We start from the raw sequence: 23829 nt of genomic DNA, 5'->3' as shown, positions 1-23829 counted from the left end.
AGAGATCATTTTCTCTCATCTCCAGAAAAGTCCAGTTAAACGCAGACTTTTCAAATTAGCTTGAGAAGTGAGTCACCAAAATGGGATCTCCCCATCGCTGAAATGCAGACCCTACGACGGCAGCTAACTTTTTTCACCCTAATGTTCATATTTTACATCATGAAATAATACTTGCCAATACTTTTCGCAGCAACTACCAGCAACGTACTCTATTTCCTGATTTTTTTTTTTTTTTTTTGAGATGGAGATTCACTCTGTCACCCAGGCTGGAGTGTGGTGGTGCGATCTAGGCTCACTGCAACCTCCACCCCCAGGGTTCAAGCGATTCTCCTGCCTCAGTCTCCCAAGTAGCTGGGATTACAGGCATGCACCACCACGCCCAGTTAATTTTCGTATTTTTGGTAAAGATGGGATTTCACCATGTTGGCCAGGCTGGTCTTGAACTCCTGACCTCAACTGATCCGCCCACCTCAGCCTCCCAAAGTGCTGGGATTACAGGCGTGAGCCACCGCACCTGGCCTATTTCCAGATTTTTCAAACAAATGCTGATCTTTACTTACTGAATTGATGATGTGACTTGTAATTAAAAACAGCCCTAAGAAAGTGGTTTTTAGACTGTGATGAGACAGGGCTAGGGAGCTCATTATAAATGCTTTAGGTTGTGTCCTAAACTTTCAGTCATTTATTAATTTTTTCCATATCCATGTAGCACAAGTACTATTACATATACTACATGTGATATTTTCTTAATAGTTTTATTTAAATAGATGACTTTTTAAAAAAACTTAAATACTTCCATTTTAATGATGGCCTATGTAATAACATCTTGAAAACATGTCTTTGTAATATGCATTTTTCCTTATACATATTTAAAAATATTAAATGCTAAATTAAAACTATTTGTGTACTGACTAGTGTAATCCTGCATGCAACCAGTGGTGCCCACCCTACCTCTGAAAAACCAATTCTAAAGCATGGCTCTCAGTGGAAATGAGTGGTCCAAGCTTTATAGTTTCAGAGGCAGCAGTGGTAGAGTGTGATGGTCACCATAGCTGGCATGTATGACTCTGTCACATCTCCTTGACATTTCCAACTATCTGAGATGTCAAACAGGGACTGCAAATTTCACACGTCCCTTGACAATTCTTGACTTTTGCCCACCAAATCCACCTTCCCCAGTGTTTGTCATCTCCAGCAAAGAACACCACCATCTACCCAGTGGCTCTAATGACTCAGGAGTCAACATTACTGTCTCACCCTTGATCTCAGTTTTTCTCTCCTGTTCTCTCTTTCATGGGCCAAACAACTAGCACTGCCCCATGTCTAATGCCTCGGCAAATCCTACCGGTTTTAACTTCATAATATATTACAAATTCAACCCTTTCTTACTTCCAGTGTCCTCAACCTCATCTAAGCCATCTGTGTCAGTTTGCTAAGGCTGCTGTAACACAGTATCATAAACTGGGTAGCTTCAACAACAGAAACTGTCTCACAGCTCTGGAGGCCAGAAGTCTAACATGAAGATGTTGGCAGGGTTGGTTCTTCTGCTGGCTGAGGGAAGGAACTGTTCCAAGCCTAATTTTGGCCTCTAGATGGCGGTCTTCTCCTTGTGTCTTCATCCCATCCGCAGTATTGGGGGTTAGGACTTCCATGTATTTTCGGGGGGGGACATAATTCAACCCATAACACCATCTGAGTCATCCAGACTTCAGCAATAGCCTCATATCTCTCTTCCGTTACTTTTGCTCTCTGTATTCTACCAAGGGAAGATGCCGTAATATGCAAAGATGCCCTCATAAGACAAACCATGTCACTTTCCTCCCATACCTCCCCTGCCCTTCCCTCTACTCTCTGGGTCCAGCCTGGCGGCCTGTCTGGATTCCTATGGCTCGCCCGCTCCCGGCTCTTACTTCACTGCAGCCACACTGGTCTTTGCGCTGTTCCCAAACCTCTCCCAGAATGTTCTCAACACAGGATCTCTGGGATTCCCTTCACTGGAAAACATTCCCTTAAGTATTTTGCAAAGAATGCCCATGCTTCATTCAGGAATGTTCAAATGTCCCCTCCTCTAAAAGAGGGATGCTCCCATCACTCCTTTTCCCCATCTTTACATTATAACATTTATTATTACTGGACATAATACTGTATATGTATGTTTGTCTTTCTGTAAGCTCCATAAAGCCAGGAACTTTGTCTCATTTGTTTTCTACCTGGCACTTAGTAGGTGTTCAATAAATATTTATTAAACCAATCAATGAAGTAAGTGTATATGTGTGTGTGGGATGCATAGTTACCCATCATCAGCTCAACCACACACAGTGTTTCAGTCAGGATTCCTGCAAAACACACATTGAACTCTCACACTGGGTGGCTTGAGAAGAATTTGATTAAGGGATTACTTACAAAGGAGTAGGGCTCTTTTTCCACCCCTAGGCCAGAAGAGGAAAGGGAGGAAGCTGCTTCCAGAACCTAAAAGAGAAGAGGTCACCTGACAGGTGCCCTTCTTTTTTCAGTAAAGCATTCAGCCATCCAGTGCTAAAGCCACCAGCAGGGAGCCAGGGAGCAATGATTTCGATCACATTCTCTATTCTCCCTCCTTCTTGTCTCCTGTCTCCTGCCAGGATCTCCCCATGGGGCTGAACCCAACCAGACACCAGAGGCCTGACGTGTGGCAGCTGAGGAGGTGGGAGAAGGAAAAAGGAAGAAGAAGAAAGGGTGCAGAGGGAAGAAAAGAAAGCATGAGAAATGGGGAGAGGAAAAGAAAAAGGGAAAGAGGTAGGGGTGGGAGGAGAGAGAGGGAAACAAGGAGGAGGGAGACATGGGGAAAGGTGCAAAGGGATCTGGAGGTCAGACCGAAGCCGGAAGGCACCTGCACAATCACTGGGCCAAAGGCAGCTGCAACCACAGTGACTCCTTTCCTTATTCCTTCTCTGCCCAGTCCCAGTTTTTTAAAGAGCAAGTGGTTTTCACCTTCAAAATTTTTCTGTTTTAGAAACAAACACTGTGGACGTGCCTATGTGTCTGATGGGACAAGAGGCAAACAATTTGAGCGGGGAAGCTGTACAGTAGTTTTTCTCCTCTGGCTCTCACTTCCCAGAAATGCTGAAGGGGTGAACTAGATATTATCTGTGAAGCCCACATATCTAATCACTGGGATTTTTCTTTTGTCAAGGTTTCACATTACTGTAATTTTTGTAGGTCTGCAGTCTCAACTCAAAAGAAAAACCTGGGATTGGATTCCTGATGCAATTCTTACTTTGAATTCAAATTTACTTCCCAACCCTGTTATACTTCAATTTACCTTTTAAAGTTATTCAACATTAGGAAAGTAGAAAAGCCATTCTGTACAGAATCCACTCAGATTCCATGGAGAAGGGAGTTCTCTGAGGGATAGCAGGAAGAGAAACTGACACAATTCTCCTCCTGGCCACAAACTGGTGGTACATACAGGGCCAGGTCACTCAGCCTTCCTGGACATCAGCTTCCGAATCTGTAATTAGGCATGGAGATTTGAAGTCTGAAATTCCAAGACCCTGCCTGAAAGCTAGTTCAATTTGACAAAGATCAAAAATATCCAAGACACTCTGTTTTATAGACGAGTAAATTCAATTATTGGGCTCATGTCATAGTTCAAATTTCTGGTAGCCTTCATAATATGTGTGTTTTGGAAATCATGGCATTGACAAACTATTTAGAAAACATTTACCTTGACTGCTGTTCATAGAGAAATGTGTGGGTCTTAGACTATATTATATCCATCGGTCAATGATCGTTTGTTAGAGCATTTTAAAACATTACATATCGATTCAAATTAATGAATTTTATGTCAAATACCAGTTAACATATTTTACCATAGACAATAAGTTTATGGCTGTAATTACTGACTGAAGCTCCAAAAACACAGCACAATTATACTGCAGCACATATGTCAGCCCACTTATGTCCCTTCAGTTTAGAAAAAAATCTAATGATATCACATGGCACACATTTTTTAATGAGTGAAATTACAAGATACCTAAATTAAGAGAACCAATTTTCCACTGGGAAATTTGGCGGGGAAATCTAAAGGTAAACCAATTTTCTGAAGGCAGAATAAAATTTTCAACATAGCTCTAAGTTGTACCCAAAGCAAATTATTGCCAACTAGTAATATGGCTCTGATAATTAGACTTGATTGGTGTTTAAATTAAGCAGGGGATGTGCTACACTCCTCAAACCTGTTTTGACTTGTTTCATTTGTGCTAGCAGGCATGAACAGAATGGCCAGGGTCGCAGGAAAGGAGAAGCAGCCTGGCTTTGCGGATTGGGGTAGGATAGCATTTATCTGAACTCTCTCTCATCTGGCAGTTTCTTACCACACAGGTTCCTATGTGAAACAGATGAAGAGCCCACATACACACCAATCATCATTACAACACTGAACACCTAATAGAACAGTGTTAATCTATAACACAACAATAATCACATCTTCTACCGGGGTGTAATCACTATAAATTCTAGGGTGGGGTATATGGATAAAAGGTCATCTTATCCCTCCCTCTTATTAATAAAAGCCCTGAGGCTCAGAAGACATGAACTCTGCATATTTCAAACAAATGCAAACGAAATCATCCTCATTCATGTTTAGGTCACACTGCCATAATGTCATTCTGTACTCTTTAACACCTACTTTTACCAGGAGAATGTAAAACACAGCATTTTGGCTCCCCACAGTGGTTCCACTGCTAGGCTTTGCCCTGTGGGGCTCACATAGCATGTGTGGAAGGCACTCTCTATCATAGTGAAAAAGGTCTAAATGACCCACAGATGTTTGTATTCTGGCTCTACATGCCTAGCAGAGCCTCAGCTTCCCCATCTGTAAAATGGGGATAATAACAGCTACCTCCATAGGGCTGTCAGATATGCCTATGCCATATTCAGCACATCCGTGGCATGAGTAAACACTTCATAAATGTTGGTTATTAGTGGCACAAAGAAGGCTCTCAGCACCTGCTGATTTGTATCACCTTTAACACTGACCCAATTCACTTCCAGTTACAAACTCCTCATAATTGATTTCACAGGGATTTTAAGCATTTTTTACATTTTTGAATGAAAGCACTAGAGCCCAGATAGGGGCTTCAGGTCCCCATGAGCTCCAGACTTTGTGGGACCACTGATACCTCGGATCCCCCATCTTCACCGAAATAAATCACATGTAGCAGAAGGATGTAATAGGTGCCTCCAGTTACTGTGACCCAATTATAAGGCAAATCCTGAGCAAACCTCTTTGAAAATAACTGAGCAGTAACTCCAGACTAGGAGCAGATGGCCCCATAGCTGGCCTTCCGAGCACCAGACTCAGGTGCTGCATTTTGTTGCCCACCAGCCAGGGATCCCAACTCCATCATGAAAGTGCTTCCGCCATGCACAGCGCCTTTCCCATGCTGTCAGCATACTTCCACTCTGATTGTCCCAGGCGCCTAGTGGCATGCAAAGTAGGAAGGAAGCATGCTAAACAATCAATGAACAAACTTGGTTTGTTTGTTTTTTTTTTTTTTTTGGTTTTGTTTTTTTAAGTTCGCGGCTGGGAAGAGGTGGGAGGGAAGTGCTGAGGCATGGGGAATAGAATAAGGGCAGATGACAGAAAGATAGAAGCACAGGAAGTGTTTGGAAGGAAAAACAAGAAAGGCTGCTGACGAAAAATACTCCAGAAAAAAAAAACGAAAAAGGTGATCTTTGCCAAGAAAAATGTGCTAATCTTATGCAGCTGAAAGATAGTTAAAGAAACATTGTAAGATTTCTGTCTTCAACTCCTTAATTCTTAATCCTGAAGCATTCCCAAAGGAATAAGGAGTATTCCATGACCTATAGCTATAAGCACCACTTCTCATAATTGTGAACCTCTGTTATGGGCAAAAATAAAATGCCAGGATAGCATTTTTTATTGCCTCAATAAAATTGCAAGGCAATAATTTGCTCTCTAAAAGAGCAGATACCCTTGTGGATCTGTGATTTTTTAAATAGTTAGCAGTTACATATAGCAGTTCCTATGTGTTACACTCTGTTGTGTATTACATGTATCAACTACTGTAATGTTTATAACAGCCCCAGGAAATGCTATTTTTATGCCCATTTTACAGATGAGAAAATAAAGGTATAAAAGGTTTAAAAATGTGTCTGAGGTCACAGAGCTGATAAGTGGAGCTGGAATTCAAATCTAATTTGGCCAGGGTCTGTGCTCCTCACTACCACCCCAAAGAGCCTCTCCTTAGTCATAACTGATTAATAAAATATATCAAATCATTTATTTAAGGTGGCACTGAGTTATCAGTTTGACTTTTTAAGTTCAGTGACCTCAAGTATGCTGAGATGTTTTGGGGACTTCCAAGTAACTACTTAAACCAAAGTCTATTGCTCTATTAAAAGTTCAATTCTAAAAGAGCCATAAACAATATGACCTACAGTCTCAGGCATGCCTGCCTAACTTTTAGGATGATGGGCCCTTAGGCAGCACGGCACTCTCTTCTGCCATCACTGCTATCACACACTCTGAGGATGTGAGATGCTCATGGACCGTGCTGTCTTCATTAAGTTATTCTTCCTCTTGTATTTAAATCACTCATCTCATGTGATATTGCACTCAATGACAAGCCTTCACCCAGCTTCCTCAAAACCAGAACATTTAATTCATTCCTCAGTATCACTGCTTTCTAATTACCTTTGAATTTGATAAAAAATAGGTGGTAAAATACAGATGCCCCTTAATCTGTTACACAGTCTAAAGATGTCAATGAATTGACAGTCCTGGGGGTTTATGGGAAAGGTAACAGGTTTAAGGTAATGGGGAGGCAAGAAAGGACAGGGGTGGTAGGATTGGAGAGAGAACCAAGGGTCAATGAAGACACTGACCTGTGTCTTAAATTAAAATACCAACACCAACAAAAACTCCAGTATTTTAATACTTACATGTAGTATAGTATTAAGGAATGTCTAAATACCAAAAAGGTAGAATGGTAATTACCAACAGAGAGGACAGAATAAGAAATCTTAATGTATGTCTAACAGATCACAGAAAGGAAGATTAGAGACAAGAAAAAGAGGCAGTATTTAATTCTCATGCTGCACAACAAAATAAGAAGCGTTATATTGCTGTGATTTATCAAGATACTAAAAGTCCTCACTAATGCAATAGAAGAAAAATTAAGAAGCAAATAACTAGAAAGCTATTCTATTTGCAGTTGATAGAATGTCTCTACTAAAACATCATGAGATTCTATTAATATACATATTATTTTTGATTAAAAGAGCTCAGAGATTTTAGATACAAGATCAATATACAAAAATAAATAGTATTTATATATACTAGTAATAACCAACTAGAAAACACTGAAGGAAAAATGATATAATTCACAATAGCAATAAAAATCATAAGGTATCTAGAGATACATCTATCAAAGGATGAACAACATCTATATAGTGAAAAGTGTAAAACAGCTTAATAGGCACAAATGAATACAGAATTAACAGAAACATATACCATATACATAGAAGGAAAGGCTCAAATACTCCCCAAATTAATTTCAAGAGCCACTGTAATTCTAACCAAAATTATAAGTAGATATGTTTTGGTGAAATTAAACAATTTTAAAAATTTACTTAAAAGCATAAATAGCCAAAAATATCTAAATCAATTCTAAATAAAAGAAGAACAAAAATAAGAGACGTGCCCTACAAAAGTCAAGATTGATTACAAAACTGCAGTTGTTAAATCATGTGGGATTCACTCATGAATAAATAGACTGGGGCAAGTAGAGAACTGAAAAACAGACCCTAACACCAATGTGAATGTAGTATAAACTGGAGGTGGTGAAACAAACAAGAAAAAAAGACACACTAAGTAAATGATACACCACAGATTCACTCTCTGCCTGGAAAAATAAATTTGATCCATACCTCACACCATACTCAAAAATCAGATGAATTAAAAGCAATGTCAAAACACAACTTTAAAATTTTAGAAAAAAAAAGCTGGGTGTGGTAGCTCACACCTGTAATCCCAGCACTCTGGGAGGCTGAGGCGGGAGGATCACTTGAGCCCAGGAGTTTGAGACCAGCCTGGCCAACCATCTTTAGTAGAGATGGTAAAATCTGTCTCTACTAAGAGTACAAAATACAAAAGTATTTACAATATGTAAAAAATATAAAAATTAGCCAGGCGTGGTGGCATGCACCTGCAGTCCCAGCTACTTAGGAGGCTGAAGTAGAAGAATCAGTTGAACCCAGGAGGAGGAGGTTGCAGTGAGCTGAGACTGCACCACTGCACTCCAGCCTGGGTGAGACAGTGAGACTCCATCTCAAAAAAATAAAAAAATGAAAAAATAAATTTAGAAAAAAAGATATTTTATGACCTATAAATAGGAAAATATTTCTTAAATAGGTAGAGAAAGTAAAATTCATAAAAAAGGACTGAAAAATTGAACTGCATTAAAATTCGGTCCTCTACTTGACAAACGACACCATAAGTAAATTTTAAAGAAAACAGCAGACTGAAATAAGATATTTCTAATATCTAAAACAGATACATTAATAGCAAAAGGGAAATAATAAAATTAGTGGACAAAATATATGACCCAACAACTTAGAATAGATGAAACCCAAAATGACCACTAAACATATAAAAAGATACACAACCTCTTTGGTGTAATTTAGTAAAAACTAAAGTAAAACAACAAAGTCATCACTTCACACCCATCAGAATAGTGCAAATCAAAAAGTCTCAAAATGTTGGTATAAAAGAAAACAGATCTGCTGGTAGAAGTGTACAATGATTCAGAACTCTGACAAGTTTACTGCAATATCCATTAAGGTTAAAAATGTGTATACTATAGAACCCAGCAATTCTGCTTCTTGGCATAGATCCTACAATCATACTCACCTACAGACAGCAAGCAATCCACACATGGATGTCCACTGAAGTATCGTTTGTAACAGTGAAAACAAAAACCCAAACTAGACACACCTAACATGTTTATTGTTAGGGGAAAGGATAAACTGTGGTATATTCATGAGATGAAATAGTAACCAGCACTTAAAATGAATGAACTAAACCTGTATGAATCAATGTAGATATCTAAAAATCTATTCTGAGTGGGGAAAAAAAGTTCCAAAACGTACATGACAGAATAAAAACACAAACTAGAAATGTGCATATCAAATCTATGACAGTGTTTGCTTCTGGGAGGGAGGGCAGAGAAGGGAACAAAAGACTGAGGAGGGGTTTTCGGTCCTGTTACATTTCCTTTATGTTTTAAGTTTTCTTCTTTTTATAATATCCAATTGCTTTTATAAAGAGTACTCTCTGAAGAAAAATGACAAAATGTAAACTTTAATTTTAGATGTCAGATAGAGAGGTGTTTGTTATATCATTCTCTATGTTATTCAGCATTTCACAACCTTTTCAAATTATTTTAAAGACTGCATTTAACAGCTGGACATATAGCCATATCACCATAATTCTTGTCCAGGTCAATATTTAAAACAAGAGGACAGTCTAATTTAATAAAAAGCACAATCCAAAGATCTTCCTACAGTAATATGGGCATAAGGGCTGTCTTTGTGCAAATGCACAGTATTTGACTCAAAATCAGATATAAGCAAAATCAGATTTAAAATCAGGAAGGCAATCAGTCAGTATGTGTCTTCCTGATAAAGGCAACACACAGGAACTTCTAATCTTTTCCTCCAGACAGCACTGACATTGACTGGCACATGTGAGGGCAATTAATAACTCTTCAAAACTGAGACCAATATCTCACTTTTCTTTCTGTTCAAGTGGAAACAGTAAATAAATCAACTTAAAACTTCCAGTAACTACTATACAAAAGGATTTCTCCATTTAAGTTCCAGGTGAAAGCTAACCATGTCTCTGATCTCCCACATTTTCCCATCCAAACCATCAAGGTCCTACCTGGGATCAGGCCTTAGTGCTCTGTCTGCAAGTGCAGCTGACACCTACACCACACAATCGGGAGTCAGGGAGGCCTGCATCGCACCCTGCAGGTTCTCCCTGCACCCTTTGACATCAGCCTTAGCCACAGTGGGGACTCAGTGCAAGCTCAGACTAACCTCATGCAAAGAGTGTCCTATCTCTCTCTCTTTTGTTTTGGTTTTTGAAACAGGGCCTTGCTCTGTCACCCAGGCTGGAGTGCAGTGGTGCAATCATGGCTCACTGCAGCCTCAGACTCCTGAGCTCAAGCAGTCCTCCCACCTGAGCCTCCTAAGTGGGACCACAGGCGCACACCACCACACCTGGCTAATTTTTAATATTTTTTTCTAGAGATAGGGTCTTGCTATGTTGCCCAGACTGGTCTCAAACTCCTGGGATCAAGTGATCCTCCCAACTCAGCCTCCCAAAGTGCTGGGATTACAGGCATGAGCCACCAGGCCTGGCCAAGTATCCCATCTCAAACAGACACACTTTTCTTCTTCTGCCCCAGGCATTCTCCAAAACCATGTAAGCCTACTAAGGCCCAGAAGTGAAACAAAGTCCATTCCCCTGGGAGAACAACCATCAACCAATGAGCACAGGAGCTGGTGGTGCATACATGTTCTGGTTTCCAATAAGAGTCCTTCAGGTAGCCAATTCCAGAGTGTTTCTTTCAGTGTGTCTCAGGAGGTGTCAGTCAAATGACATTCCCGTTGCCCATCACAGCACCCTTACACTGGCATTGCTTCCTTATCTCTCCTCCCTCATTCCTGCTTCTTGACAACATCCCGAAGCTACTTGCCTTCAAATTCTCATCTCCAGCTCTGTTCTCAAGAGAACACAAATGAAGCGAGCAAACACCACCTAGTCCAGCTCTAAATGTATTTTTCTTAATCGTGGATTCTACTTGCATTGGGCCATTCTTCCATTGCTATAAAGAAGTATCTAAGACTGGGTAATTTATAAAGAAAAGAGGTTGGTGCTGGCATCTGCTCAGCTTCTGGGGAAGCCTCAGGGAGCTTTTAATCATAGCGGAAGGTGAAGGAGGAGCAGGAGTCTCACATGGCAATAGCGGGAGCAAGAGAGAGGCAGGTGGGGAAGATGCCACACACTTTTAACCATCAGATCCCACAAAAGCTCACTCATCACCAAGGGGATGGCTCTAGGCCATTCATGAGGGATCCCACCCCACAATCCAACATCTCCCACCAGGGCCCACCTCCAACGCTGGGGATTACATTTCAACGTGAGATTTGGTAGGGCCACAGATCCAAACCATAGTACTACTACTTTCTAAATACTTGAGTGTCAAACAGCATGTGAACACAGACACAAAAATAAACAGGATGAAGTCTCTGTTGTCAAGGAACTCACAAATCTAGCAAGGCAGAATTCGCACACACTTGTCATAAAATGTGACAATGGGTAATGTCAAGGCGGGTACAAAATATACCAGAGCACTGAGGAAAGGGTGACTGCTTCTGCTTGTGGAGATGCTCCCAGCTCACATCTTTTTCCTCTTCTAACTGATAGGGCAGCATTTACAATGGTTTCCAATCATCCTTGGCTCCTGGCCTTCATACCTTTTTTTAGTCTGTCCTTGAGTATGGGATTTAGTGGTTCACTTCTAAGGACTAGAATACAACGGAAGTGAGGAGGTGTCACTTCCCAGATTAGGTTACAAGACTGTAACTTCTCCTTCCAAGAAGAAGGAGGGACTGCCCTCTCTTGCCCTCTCCCATGCTCCGTCTGATGGAAGTGAGTTGTCATGCTATGAGCCGTCCTATGAGCAGAAGAACATGACAAGGATCTAAGTGGGCTTGGAAAGCAGGTGGTGCCCCAGTCCAGCCTTGAAGTAGCTGCAGCCCCAGCCGATACCTTGATATTAGCCTTGTAACAGACCTGGTGCCAGATCACCCAGCTAAGCTGCATCTGGATTCCTGATTCACAAAAACTATGACATGGTAAATATTTGTTGTTTGAAGCAGATATGTTTTGGAGTCATTGGTCACAACTCCATAGATAACCAGTATACACACTAATCATGATATTAAATCACCAAAATATGGATAAATAGTCTAGGCAAAGAGTGTCTGATACCTGATTCTTGTTCTTTCACATACTCATTCAATAAGCATCTACTGTGTGCTAGGCAGTATAGGCACAAAGCTTAACTTTTAAAAATGACACCAGCCGGGGGCAGTGGTTTACACCTGCAATCCTGCTACTGGGGAGGTTAAGACCAGCCTGGGCAATATGAGGAGACACCATCTTTTATAAAAATAATAAATAAATAAATAAAAATGTCAGTCCCTGCCTTTGTGGAAAAAGCAAATTTGCAAAATTTGTAGCAAATCTATTTATGCAACTTCCCTAACTTATTTTAAACTATGATTTGTTATAAATGTTTAATTTCTACTGACCCTTTAAGTAATTTATTAAATATATAATTAAAATAGCTTTGCTAAATTAAATGCACTTTATGTTTGATGCAAGATACTTAAAGGTTTATTCAATCTGTTTAAAACATAAGTTATATATTTAGAAAAGAATTCTGATTTCCTTTTCCACAAAAAATCCTTGCAGGAATTAGGTCTTTTCCTTCCATTCATTCAAAAAACTATTCCCACAGGCAGAAAACCCATGAAGCAGTGAATTGAAAAACTTTATGTCCAAACATTCTGTAATATTTTCCAAATCAACTATTTTGAAGTCTACATTCTCCTCTTTCTGATGAGACTTAGTAACTTCTGCACAAACTCAGAATAAACATGTAAGCATTACTGAACAAGATTACTTAGGTGAGACTTCCATCTTCTGTGATATAACTTTTCCCTCTCACCATATACTAACAAGAAGGGACAAACCCATAAAAACAGGAGGGTTCTTTCTCACTTATTCATGAAACACTTCTTTAATACTATTTATTTTTAAAAATACCATCAGCTTTTCCACAGAATCCTAAGCATCCTACATAAAGAAATATGATCATTTAGAATAAATAGAAAACAAAGATATGGGGAAATGATTTTTCAGTGACCTACACACAGACACACACACGGGACCTATTAAACCTATGACTAGACCAGTTACACTTACTCCGGGTAGATTAAATTATCACACTGGTTATGCAGGCTTTTCGAACATGCCTCTATTTTCTTCCCATTAATAGAATCCACTTTAACTAACATGACTTGAACAAAAGTTCACTTTCATTAGAAGCAATAACTTGACTCTACCAGTCATGGCACAAGGCCATGAACTAAGGAATAGAAACCAGAATATATGGGAGGAAAATCACAAAGGGACTTGATTTATTAACCACCCTCCTCTTAAGACTCACTCTGGGCTTTGACCAGGGTGTACCATCCACTATGACACTGTTGAGAAGAGTATGTCATTTCTGTTTTCCACTTTCAAACAGGATCCTACAGTCTTCCTCCTCAGCTCATCATATTTTCTGCATCCCTCTTTCTTCACGCACCAAAGGGAATATAATGAGAATTCTATTTAGGGAGGGAAGATAGTTTACATTTCATTAGGATATCCTTTGAAGATTACTGACAACTATCTCTGTAACTTACTTAAACCCACTGACACAATGGAGCTCCGAGAACTTGCATTGCAATGGTATTTTCTATACAAAAGATTTATCTGTGTTTCTAATTTGGGGGAAAAATGTAGCCAAAAGTACAGTCTAAATGAATTTCAGTTGTGCAAAAATCCAGCCCAACTTCTCCCTCAAAATCATTTTGCGGTAAGAAAGGGCCAGACCATGGTACAAATTGTGAAGCCAAGGAGATACAGATTTGTATCCACACAGACAAGCGTTACGGTGTCCAGGGAATTTGTCAAACATCTCTGAGCCTCGGTTTCCTCTTCTATAAAATGGAGTTAATAGGCCAGGCACGGTGGCTCATACCTGTAATATCAGCCTTTTTGGAGGTCGAGGAAAGCAGATCCGCTTGAGCCCAGGAGTTTGAGACCACCCTGGGCAACATGGCAAAACCCCGTCTCAACAAAAAGTACAAAAATTAGCCCATGGTAGTGCATGCGTGTAGTCCCAGCTACTCAGCAGGCTGTGGTGGGAGGACCACCTGAGCCTGGGAGGTTGAGGCTGCAGTAAGTCATGATTGCACCACGGCACTCCAGCCTGGGTGACAGAGTGAGACCTCATCTCAAAAAGAAAAAGGAGTTAATAATGCCTAGCTATTTTGAGGATTACAGCTTATATATCTATATATATACAGTGTCTATCACATTTACTATTTAGTAAACTTCCATTATAACATGGTAGATTATTATATATTTTCAAAATAGTCCACCACATTGAACCCAGTACTAAAACTGTTCATGGAAATTACTATTCATTAAATATACTGGGAGTTTAGCTAATGTCAGATAACCTCGCCAGATTATACAATAAGGGGATCAAACTAAAGGAACCTCCAAAACCTATCTAGCTCTAAAATAAATAACACAATGAAATTAGGCACACTTAGCAAGTCTGAAAACAGTCAAAAAGAAGGGTATAGACAAAAATGTTCCCAAAAAGAATTATTCCACAATTAGCTACTGCTCATTTTCAGGAGGAAGTCTGCACCAAGGAAACGCTGATACAAATAGGGGCTCCACTAAGAGAAGTGCATGCACTATAGTAATCCACTGATATGTGGTGTTAATAAAAATAAAAAGGGATTTAGATACATAGCACAGGTTTTTAAAACATTAAGAAAACGGTGACTCTGAAGAGTCATTTCCTAAGGAATAAAAGGGACAGCAAGCTGCAACAGTATCTCACATGAATTAAACTGTCCTTTAAGAGCAATGACCAACACAAAAAGAATGCATCTGAGGCTACTCAAGGCATCCTTATGGTTCTTGCCATAGGTGTTAAATTTTGTGTAACAAAAATTTGTTACTAAGAGGTTGCCTCAAATTGGCTAGCAGCCTAATAAATTAGACGGCTGCTCCTGCCCACCCTCCTATTAAACCCTGGTTAAGGAGATGCTCTACCCAACTCTTTTTCTCTTCTCTGAGCCTTTTTGCTGAGGCTTTGAATAGATAGATACAAAGACAGACAGACAGAAAATAGAGAGTGTAGACTTCAAAGTAGTTGATTTGGGAAATATTACAGAATGTTTGGACATAATAGACAGATAAGATTAGATTATGGCTCTTACAATAAACAGGGCCAAGATGGAATATTGTGCTAAAATCCCATTTGATTTGAAAATGTTTTGAAACCATTCGAAATTGTAAAAGACATTATCATCCATGGGGAAATGTTGCTGGGCATGCACCGAGTGTAAATACTGCCTAAGCAGCCTCTACTTGCAGGAGAAACCCTCTCTCCATTATAAGAGAACACATTTCTCAAATGTATGCATTTTTTTCTTCAAAAAAAAAAAAAAAAGGCTTAAAATGGTGGCAACATCTTGGGTCAGGGTTGTGCAATTTAAGTTGAATCAGAAGACACACTGAAGGATATTAATGAACACTCTGAAATGGAGTAATTTCTGTTAGGCAAGAACCAGTTCCTTTTTTTAAAAAAAGTATACAGGTTAAGTAATCCTTCTCCAAAATGCTTAGAACCAGAAGTATTTCAAATTTCAGGAGATTTGGGAATATTTGCATATAATGAGACACCTTGGGGAAAAGACCCAAGTCTAAACATGAGATTCATCTGTGCTTCTTACACACCTTATACACATATCCTGAAGGTAATTTTAATAATTTTGTACATGAAACCAGGCTGACTGTGGTTTGACTGTGACCAATCCACACACGAGATCAGGTATGGAATTTTCCACTTGTAGCATCATGTTGGCATTCAAAAAGTTTCCAGTTTCACAGCATTTCAAATTTCAGATTTTCAGATAAGAGATGCTCTACCTGTAGTTCAATGTGGCCACACAGAAGAACTCAAGCATCGGCTACGTGTAGACAGACAGAGCGAACAAACAAAGGAATGTTTGACAACTATGAACAAAAACACCTTGATTTTGACATTCACTATTTTGATAACTTCAGTTCATTTTATTTCTCTGAAATTCAGTGTTCTTAACCGAAAGATGAAGTAATGAAGCTAGATTAAATCGAAGGTTTCTCTCCTAGACTTAAAATTCTACAATTCTCTAATTCTAAAGCACCTCGGGCTTCAGCTGTTGAGGCAAAAGAATGCTTTATTTTTTATTTTTTAACAGAAAAGCTCTAAACTTGAACTCTGGAGGAGTTACAGAGGCAATAAAAGGCAAATCAGGCAAATTCTTTACCTGGAATTCTGCAGTGAGTCAGAGGATGTGCAGGGACAAGAATCCAGAATTCATCATCTTTATTCTGGCTGATGTAACCACTATAAATAATTGCCTCATGCCTGTGAGGTAATATGCTTTTGCCAAGGACCCCATTAACATCTAAGCAGACCTTGAGAGAGTCTCCTCTATTGTGCACACAGCTTTTATCAAATTATATTTCTTTTTAAACTTTCTGCCCTGATTATAAAAATAATACATAACATAGATTCCTAATGGAACAGCTCAAAAACACAAAGAGAATTAAAATCAACTGCTAACTCCAGCCCTTGAAAATAACAAATATTTATTGACCATGTATTGGGGATGTAACGGGGGCAAGACAATTTTCTTGATCTTAAGAAGTTTACAGACCCACAGGGTGGAAAGAGACAGGCAAGAGGCAGTTCCACAGATTCTCACCAGAGCTCGGCTAGGTGATGGTGGTCTGCAGAAGGAACGCCTTGCCCTGAAGAAGGAACGCCTTACCCTGGCTTACTTCTCTGGGCAAAGAAATGCTCAAGTGAACTCCAGGAAAGGAGGAGATGGAGTAAATGAAAAAGGACAGGAGAAGAGAAAAGGGGGGAGGAAAGCAGAAGAGGAGTAGGGTAAAGAGAGAGGGGAAAGGGGAGGTGGAGGGGAGAATAGACAGGAGGAGGGAACTGGATGCAGAAGGAAGGAGAACCAGCCAACAAACGGAGAGACTCCTCAGGAGGAGGGCACAGATGTTTCCTTAGCGAAGACTTGATAGACTCTAGTTTCTGCCTGCTTCCTCAGCTTCGAATTGGGGTATGAACCAGAATAGAACAAACTGGACAAAACTAGACAGAACCCCCCAAAATTTCCATCAGCTCTGCAACAATGCCACAGGGTCAGCCTCTAGACATGGAACCCCAGTTTGGCTTATGACCCCCTCATCACAATACAAAGATGCATAAAGGAGTCAAGGAAACCTAGAGCAAGGACACCCCTAATCATCCATAATGGGGATATTGAGAGTCATTATTTCACTGAGTCCAACAGGTTTCCTGTTTTGCAGAGGCTCTGACCCTGGACAAAATTCCATCGCTTTAACTCATGATGCAGGAAGAGCATAACGCTGGGGAACGCAGCATAAAAGGCAATCCTCTCCACATGTTTGACAGAGTTTTCTGATATGAGCACACCAGACATCCCAGCTGCTCGTGCCATGTGTATAAATGCTGCAGCTACAGACATACATGTGGTCTGGCAAGAGGGTCTATGGAATTGGATCTTAAATCATGAGTACAACTTTCATAAGTAAACACACTGGAGAGAAGAGGAAGAAAACTAGGAAGAAAAGAAGGAAAAGAAATAGAGAATTTTAAAAAATCACTAGGCGGGATTTTCTGTTCCATACATCCTAATCCTCACAAAACTGCATCTAAGAGTCGACAGATGAGAACAATTATTTAGAGCACAAGTGATAAAAGGCAATAACAATATAAAGCTTTTTGCAGACTTGCCACATCAGCTATTTATCACTGTCAAATCATTTAGGTTAAAAAATTATAATAACGGAGGCTAACTGATCATTGGTGAAGTCATGCCTAGTAATTCTTAGTAAACAAACAAACAAAAAAAACAACCTGCCTGCTTTTAAGAGGTTAGCAGAGTAAAAGCACAAATATACTAATCCTTCAAAGAAGAAAAAACTTAGTATTTTATGACAAATGTTACTGAAATAAATTTGCATTCCTTATCGCCTTTTTTCTGCCTCTTCTAACATCATAAACAAATTATTTACATATAAAGCATGTTTTAATTGTAAAATAACAAAGAATAAGAAAACTTTGTAGAAGAAAAAAAGCAAGACATTTTAGAAAGGGGATACACTAAATTTACTTTGACACCAAAATAAAAATTTCTGAATATTCAAAAGAAAAAAATCTTAAGCAAATAGTAAGCAAATTAAAACCCCAAAAGAGTAGGATACTTTTTGTTCCAAGTAACAAAATACCCAAATCACAGTGACTTAAACAATATAAAGGATTTATCCACTGGGGCAACACAAAAGTCCAGCAAGAGGTTTTGCTTAGGACAACATTTGATCCAGTGGCCTTACAGTGGCTGTAAGAACTTGATTTCTTTCCAAGTCTTGGCCTCACCTTTCACGGCACTGCCATTTTCCTAAAACAATCTTTCTTCATACACCCAGTGTAGCTTTGAGCTACTGTTAAGGTTTTTCTTTTTTTTTTTTTTTTTTTTTTTGAGAAGGAGTCTTGTTCCAGCACCCAGGCTGGAGAGTAGTGGCACAATCTCAGCTCACTGCAACTTCCGCCTCCCTAGTTCAAGTGATTCTAGTGCCTCAGCCTCCCAAGTAGCTGGGATTACAGGCTCCCACCACCACCTCCAGCTAATATTTGTGTTTTTGTTGTTGTTGTTGTTTTATTTTTTGAGATGGAGTCTCGCTCTGTCACCCAGGCTGGAATGCAGTGGCATGATTTCAGCTCACTGCAACCTCTGCCTCCTGGGTTCAAGCAATTCTCCCTGCCTCAACTTCCCAAGTATCTGGAATTACAGGCGTCCACTACCACGCCTGGCTAATTTTTGTATTACTTAGTAGAGATGGGGTTTTGCCATGTTGGCAAGGCTTGTCTTGAACTCCTGATCTCAGGTGACCTGCCTGCCTCAGTCTCCCAAAATGCTGGGATTACAGACGTGAGCCACCATGCCTGGCCCTGTTAAGGTTTTGTATCTCCCAATTAATGTCCAACAAGAAAAAGCATCTTTGCCTCAGCAGTCCCAGTAATGGGACAGAAATTCACTCTGCTAGACTTAGTGTACGTCACATGCCATCCTTGTGGTCCCTGGGACAGAATTAAGACAGATCTACATCAAATGCTCCCCTCGATTTGAATCCGTGTCAACTTTTCCAAAACCATCTTTTGGCCCTACTTTTCATGGCACTACCATCTTCCTAAACAAGCTTTCTTTAAACACTCAATATAGCTCTCAGTTATTGTTGAGGCTACGTATTTCCTAATTAATGTCCACTAAGAAAGAAAATCTTTCCCAAATGGAAAAAAGGGGGCTGATAAAGAAGGCACTGGAGAAATGAGTGCCAGGGAGGTAGACACCACCAGGAAACCACACGTTCTAATGCAGGAAGATCTGAATTTAGTTAAGTCATACAAAGTTATAGGCAAATTATATACAACTCAAAATTATTTTCCATAATAAAATTAATAAATGTTCCAGACACCATTTTACCTCCATGAGCCCCTTAGATGTCTTTCATCCTATCTTACAAGAACTAAAATTAACTTAAACAGCAACTAAAATTTTAAATCTCCTTTTTCTGGCCTTATTCATTTTTCTGTTTACCAGCCTGACTCTCCATATACCAACTAATTTATGGAATTCAGCCTTCAAGAGAATGTTCCAGAAATTTTATACCATAACATACCTCTTCTGATAGAATTACATACTTTATAATTTACAGTCATGGATTAACTCTATTTTCTCCAGGACTCAAGTCATTAATCTATAGCAACAAACTAGCTGTACCTCCATAGACCAGGAAAGCCTGCCTCTTAGTATAATGGACATTATCTCATCCTGCCTCTCATGGATAAAATATCAAGAACTAATATCCCTCTCTAAGCCTACAATTGAAAAAAATACATCATAGCTTTAGCTCCTCAAGGCTATTGGAGAAGTATGGATATGTGGAACTCATCACAATTTTTCTACCAAACTAACCACCTTCGCATAGATACCCTAACCACACCCATCTCTGAGCTTCCGTGTTATCCCAGATACAACTTCTACTGAACTTGTCACAGTGGATGATAACTGTAAGTTGGGCCATCAGTCTGGCCTGCTTCAGAGAGGCAAAAAAGGGTAAGACCATTAAGAATGCGGCCAAACTCTCTGGATTTCAATCCAGGTATCTAAGTTTGAAGCTAGACTCTGTCACTTATTAATTCTATGAATTCACTAAAGGTCAGGTAACTCTCCAGTTTTCTTCTCTAAAAACTGAGGACAGCAGCACCTCCTCCAAGGGTATGTGATAGAAATGAAATGAACTGATACATGTAAAGCACTCAGAATGGCACCTGGCACTTAGAAGTTCAATAAATGTTATGTTTATAATTCTTTCATAGGATACTATTTTCAAAAGCATCCTTGAAGTCCCAGCACAGAAGAGGGCCAAATATATACTGCCCAATAAATAAATGTCTATTTATTTATTCATTTGGTCCACTAATCTTAAAGTGTTCCTAAAGATTAGTGACCTTATCAGGAAACAACAGGTGCTGGAGAGGATGTGGAGAAATAGGAACGCTTTTACACGGTTGGTAGCAATGTAAACTAGTTCAACCATTGTGAAAGACAGTGTGGCGATCCCTCAAGGATCGAGAACTAGAAATACAATTTGACCCAGCCATCCATTACTGGGTATATACCCAAAGGATTATAAATCATGCTACTATAAAGACACATGCACACGTATGTTTATTGTGGCACTATTCACAATAGCAAAGACTTGGAACCAACCCAAATGTCCATCAATGATAGACTGGATTAAGAAAATGTGACACATATACACCATGGAATACTATGCAGCCATAAAAAAGGATGAGTTCATGTCCTTTGTAGCGACATGAAGCTGGAAACCATCATTCTGAGCAAACTATCGCAAGGACAAAAAACCAAACACTGCATGTTCTTACTCATAGGTGGGAATTGAACAATGAGAACACTTGGACACAGGGCGGGGAACATCACACACCGGGGCCTGTTGTGGGGTGGAGGGATGGGTGAGGGATAGCATTAGGAGAAATGCCTAATGTAAATGACGAGTTAATGGGTGCAGCAAACCAACACGGCACATGTATACATATGTAACAAACCTGCACGTTGTGCACATGTAACCTAGAACTTCAAGTGTGTGTGTGTATATATATATATATATATATATATATATATATATATATATAAAGATTAGTGACCTTAATGGGTCAGTGTTATTTTCCAGGTCCTCCTTTCTTCTTGTGCCTCAGGCTTTCCCTGGCTAATCTCCTCCACTCCCATGGCTTCATTTAGCACCCATAAGATAATGACACCTAGATTGTTATCTCTAGGCCATTTGCATCCTTCTCTCTCCAAGCTCATATGTATCCTTCTTATCTATTGGATCTTTCCCTTTGAATTTCTCAATAGGACCCAAAATGTAAGGTGAATGGAACAATAATCACCGCCAAACTCAACCACTGATGCCAGGCTTCTGATAACTCCATAGCTGGATGAGCATCCTCTTAAGTACTCTTACAGCACTCTTTATACTCATCTACTTATCCCTTTCTTGAGCATCTACTATGTGTCATGTCAGGCTAACCATCATAGTACTCACTCTGCATTGTCTAGTTACCAGTCTGCCATCTCCACTTCTGGCCATAAGCTCCCGGAAGACAACCAGAATTGGGTCTTATTTGTCCTTGTTTAACCAGCCTGGCACAAAGCAAAAATGCACAACAAATATCCGTTGGGTGAGTGAATGAATGTTCCCATAAGACTGGTCCAATGATGACCCCATAGAGCTAAAACACTTCCCGTAGATCACAAGTTAATACCAAGAGACAACAGTAGTAGGAAGAATGTAGCTGATTACTGTTTTCAGCATACAGATAAAATCCAAAGATGCTCCAAGAAATCAACATTCTTATACTATGTCCAAAGTGGTTCCATTAATACTGATGAAAAGAACATAAATGTGTGCCTGCATTTCAAAGCTGAAAAGGTCATAGGAGTCCATAACTGAGAAAACCCAGGAGGTAAGGGGAATTGTGGATAGCAGAAACCAACAACCCATAATCCCCCCGCCCCAACACACACACACACACACACACACACACACACACACACACACACACACACACACACACAGGCTGACTGGGACCAGCTGTTAAAGATGAATGCCAGACTTTACACCAGCTTTCAGTTTAGAACAACCTAAGGAAAGTGTCTGACAATGACGGGAAGGGCTATTATAATGAAAGACACCCTCCTTGCATGAGGAGGCAGGAAATGATGCAGCCACTGGGCACCACCACCACTATCCCCGCCAGCACATCCATCTGAGCAAATCTGAAAGCCTGGGGGTGAGGGGAGCTAAAACCTGAGATAATTCATGAAACTACGAAAGAGGGTCCAATTCCATTACTTTGTGCAACCGCTTTGTGCTCCAAGTATGAGCCGCTAATATACCCTGGCTGTGTATCAAAATTCCCATGAATATTTGTTATTTTTCCCAGAAAATTGACCCTACCTAGAAATTACAGAACTTCAAAGGCAGCAAAGAGAACTGGTAAAGTCTTTTTTGATATGGCTCCCAGAAAGTGACAGAAAGTGACTCAATTCAAACCATCATCAACACTCTATGGGGACATAAGGCTTAACAAAGAACTTCACTTAAGTCTATGTTCCTTCTTCCAAACTTAATGCCGGATACTCAGCCTCATCACATATTGAAGACTGTATCAGAAAATGTTAGTGCTAGCACCAATAGGCATTAGGCAGTAGACTCAGTTGGGGGAGTCTTGGATCTGGCTAAGAAAATCATTCTCCTCTCTGTTAAGCGACCATAGCTCAGAGAAAAAAAGGATTCTGAAGGCACTAACTGTTCAGGAAGGCTAACTTGTAGATCAAATGACAGAGGAACTATCTTGCTGACACACAATATTCTTTTTCAAGTGCTTGACAAATGAAAAGTGGTGGATGACTTAAAAATACAAATGAATGGACAGCACGGAAAAGAGTATTCTGTTTCAGGACCACTAACGTGACAACTATCAAACAAAGAAAATGTGCTTTGACATTAATGTGCTATCTCATAGAAGCCTTTTAAGCAGCACATTCCAAAGATTCCATTTTTTTCTGAGGCACAACAATATAAAAGAGGTTTTGAATCGTTCCCCATTTTACATGGAGTAGATTTAAAAGACAGTGGTAGATAAGGCATTGGCAAAGGTGTATATGTAAATGTATATATACAGACACACGGAGGAGTTCATTTAAGGGCTGCATTTCAAATTATTTTGATTGGTCTAGGCTAGTGTTAGTATTAAAGATGCAAAGTTTCATTCATGAAATTTTAAATAATGGTGATAAGATTTATCTAGACATACAAGCGGAACCTAAATATAAGGCACATGAATAATAGAATGTGCATGAAATTTGAATGCTTATTTTTCAGAAAAAAACAAAGAACTGAATGTGTGAATTCTTAGAATCTCTAAGCTAGTCTGTATTTGCATTTCAATAGCTTGCAAGGTAAGCTCTGTGAAATAGGTCAAATGTATAGACTCTCATCTCGCCTCCACCACAAATCAGTCAATTAGCTTCTAGAGAGAGTGGCACCCAGAAGTTAATATCCAGGATCTCAAAACCTATTCCTGCTGATACAGATCAAAATAATTTCAAAGCAAGTATGTTGAAGACACAGGTTTTCTATGGAACAAATTCTGGATAGGAAGCATACAATACCAGGAGCTACCAGCTAATGTGGTCAGTGAACCCACACGTGGAAATGAAACAGACAAG

The 23829-nt window shown here is 39.7% G+C and overlaps 1 protein-coding gene across 15 annotated transcripts in view, besides 2 other annotated features; it reads right to left on the bottom strand.

Annotated features, from left to right (window-relative positions):
- Positions 1 to 23829, bottom strand: part of MAST4 (microtubule associated serine/threonine kinase family member 4) — a 573201-nt gene that overhangs the window by 303281 nt on the left and 246091 nt on the right. The gene's annotated exons all lie outside the window — the stretch shown is intronic.
- Positions 5378 to 5672: a silencer, noted in NCBI's record as "tiled region #1390; HepG2 Repressive non-DNase unmatched - State 24:Quies, and K562 Repressive non-DNase unmatched - State 22:ReprW". NCBI's record gives its function as "represses a minimal TATA promoter and a strong SV40 promoter by Sharpr-MPRA in HepG2 and K562 cells {active_cell/tissue: HepG2 | K562}" and the evidence as "EXISTENCE:reporter gene assay evidence [ECO:0000049][PMID:27701403]".
- Positions 15903 to 17102: an enhancer, noted in NCBI's record as "BRD4-independent group 4 enhancer chr5:66145039-66146238 (GRCh37/hg19 assembly coordinates)". NCBI's record gives its function as "activates an origin of replication core promoter dependent on BRD2, P300/CBP, MED14 and CDK7 cofactors, and independent of BRD4, by STARR-seq in HCT116 cells {active_cell/tissue: HCT116}" and the evidence as "EXISTENCE:reporter gene assay evidence [ECO:0000049][PMID:35650434]".

Source organism: Homo sapiens, chromosome 5 (assembly GCF_000001405.40).
Source record: "Homo sapiens chromosome 5, GRCh38.p14 Primary Assembly".
Lineage (NCBI taxonomy): Eukaryota > Metazoa > Chordata > Mammalia > Primates > Hominidae > Homo > Homo sapiens.
Note: the sequence above shows the minus strand (reverse complement) of the source record. Positions and strands in the feature narration are given on the sequence as shown.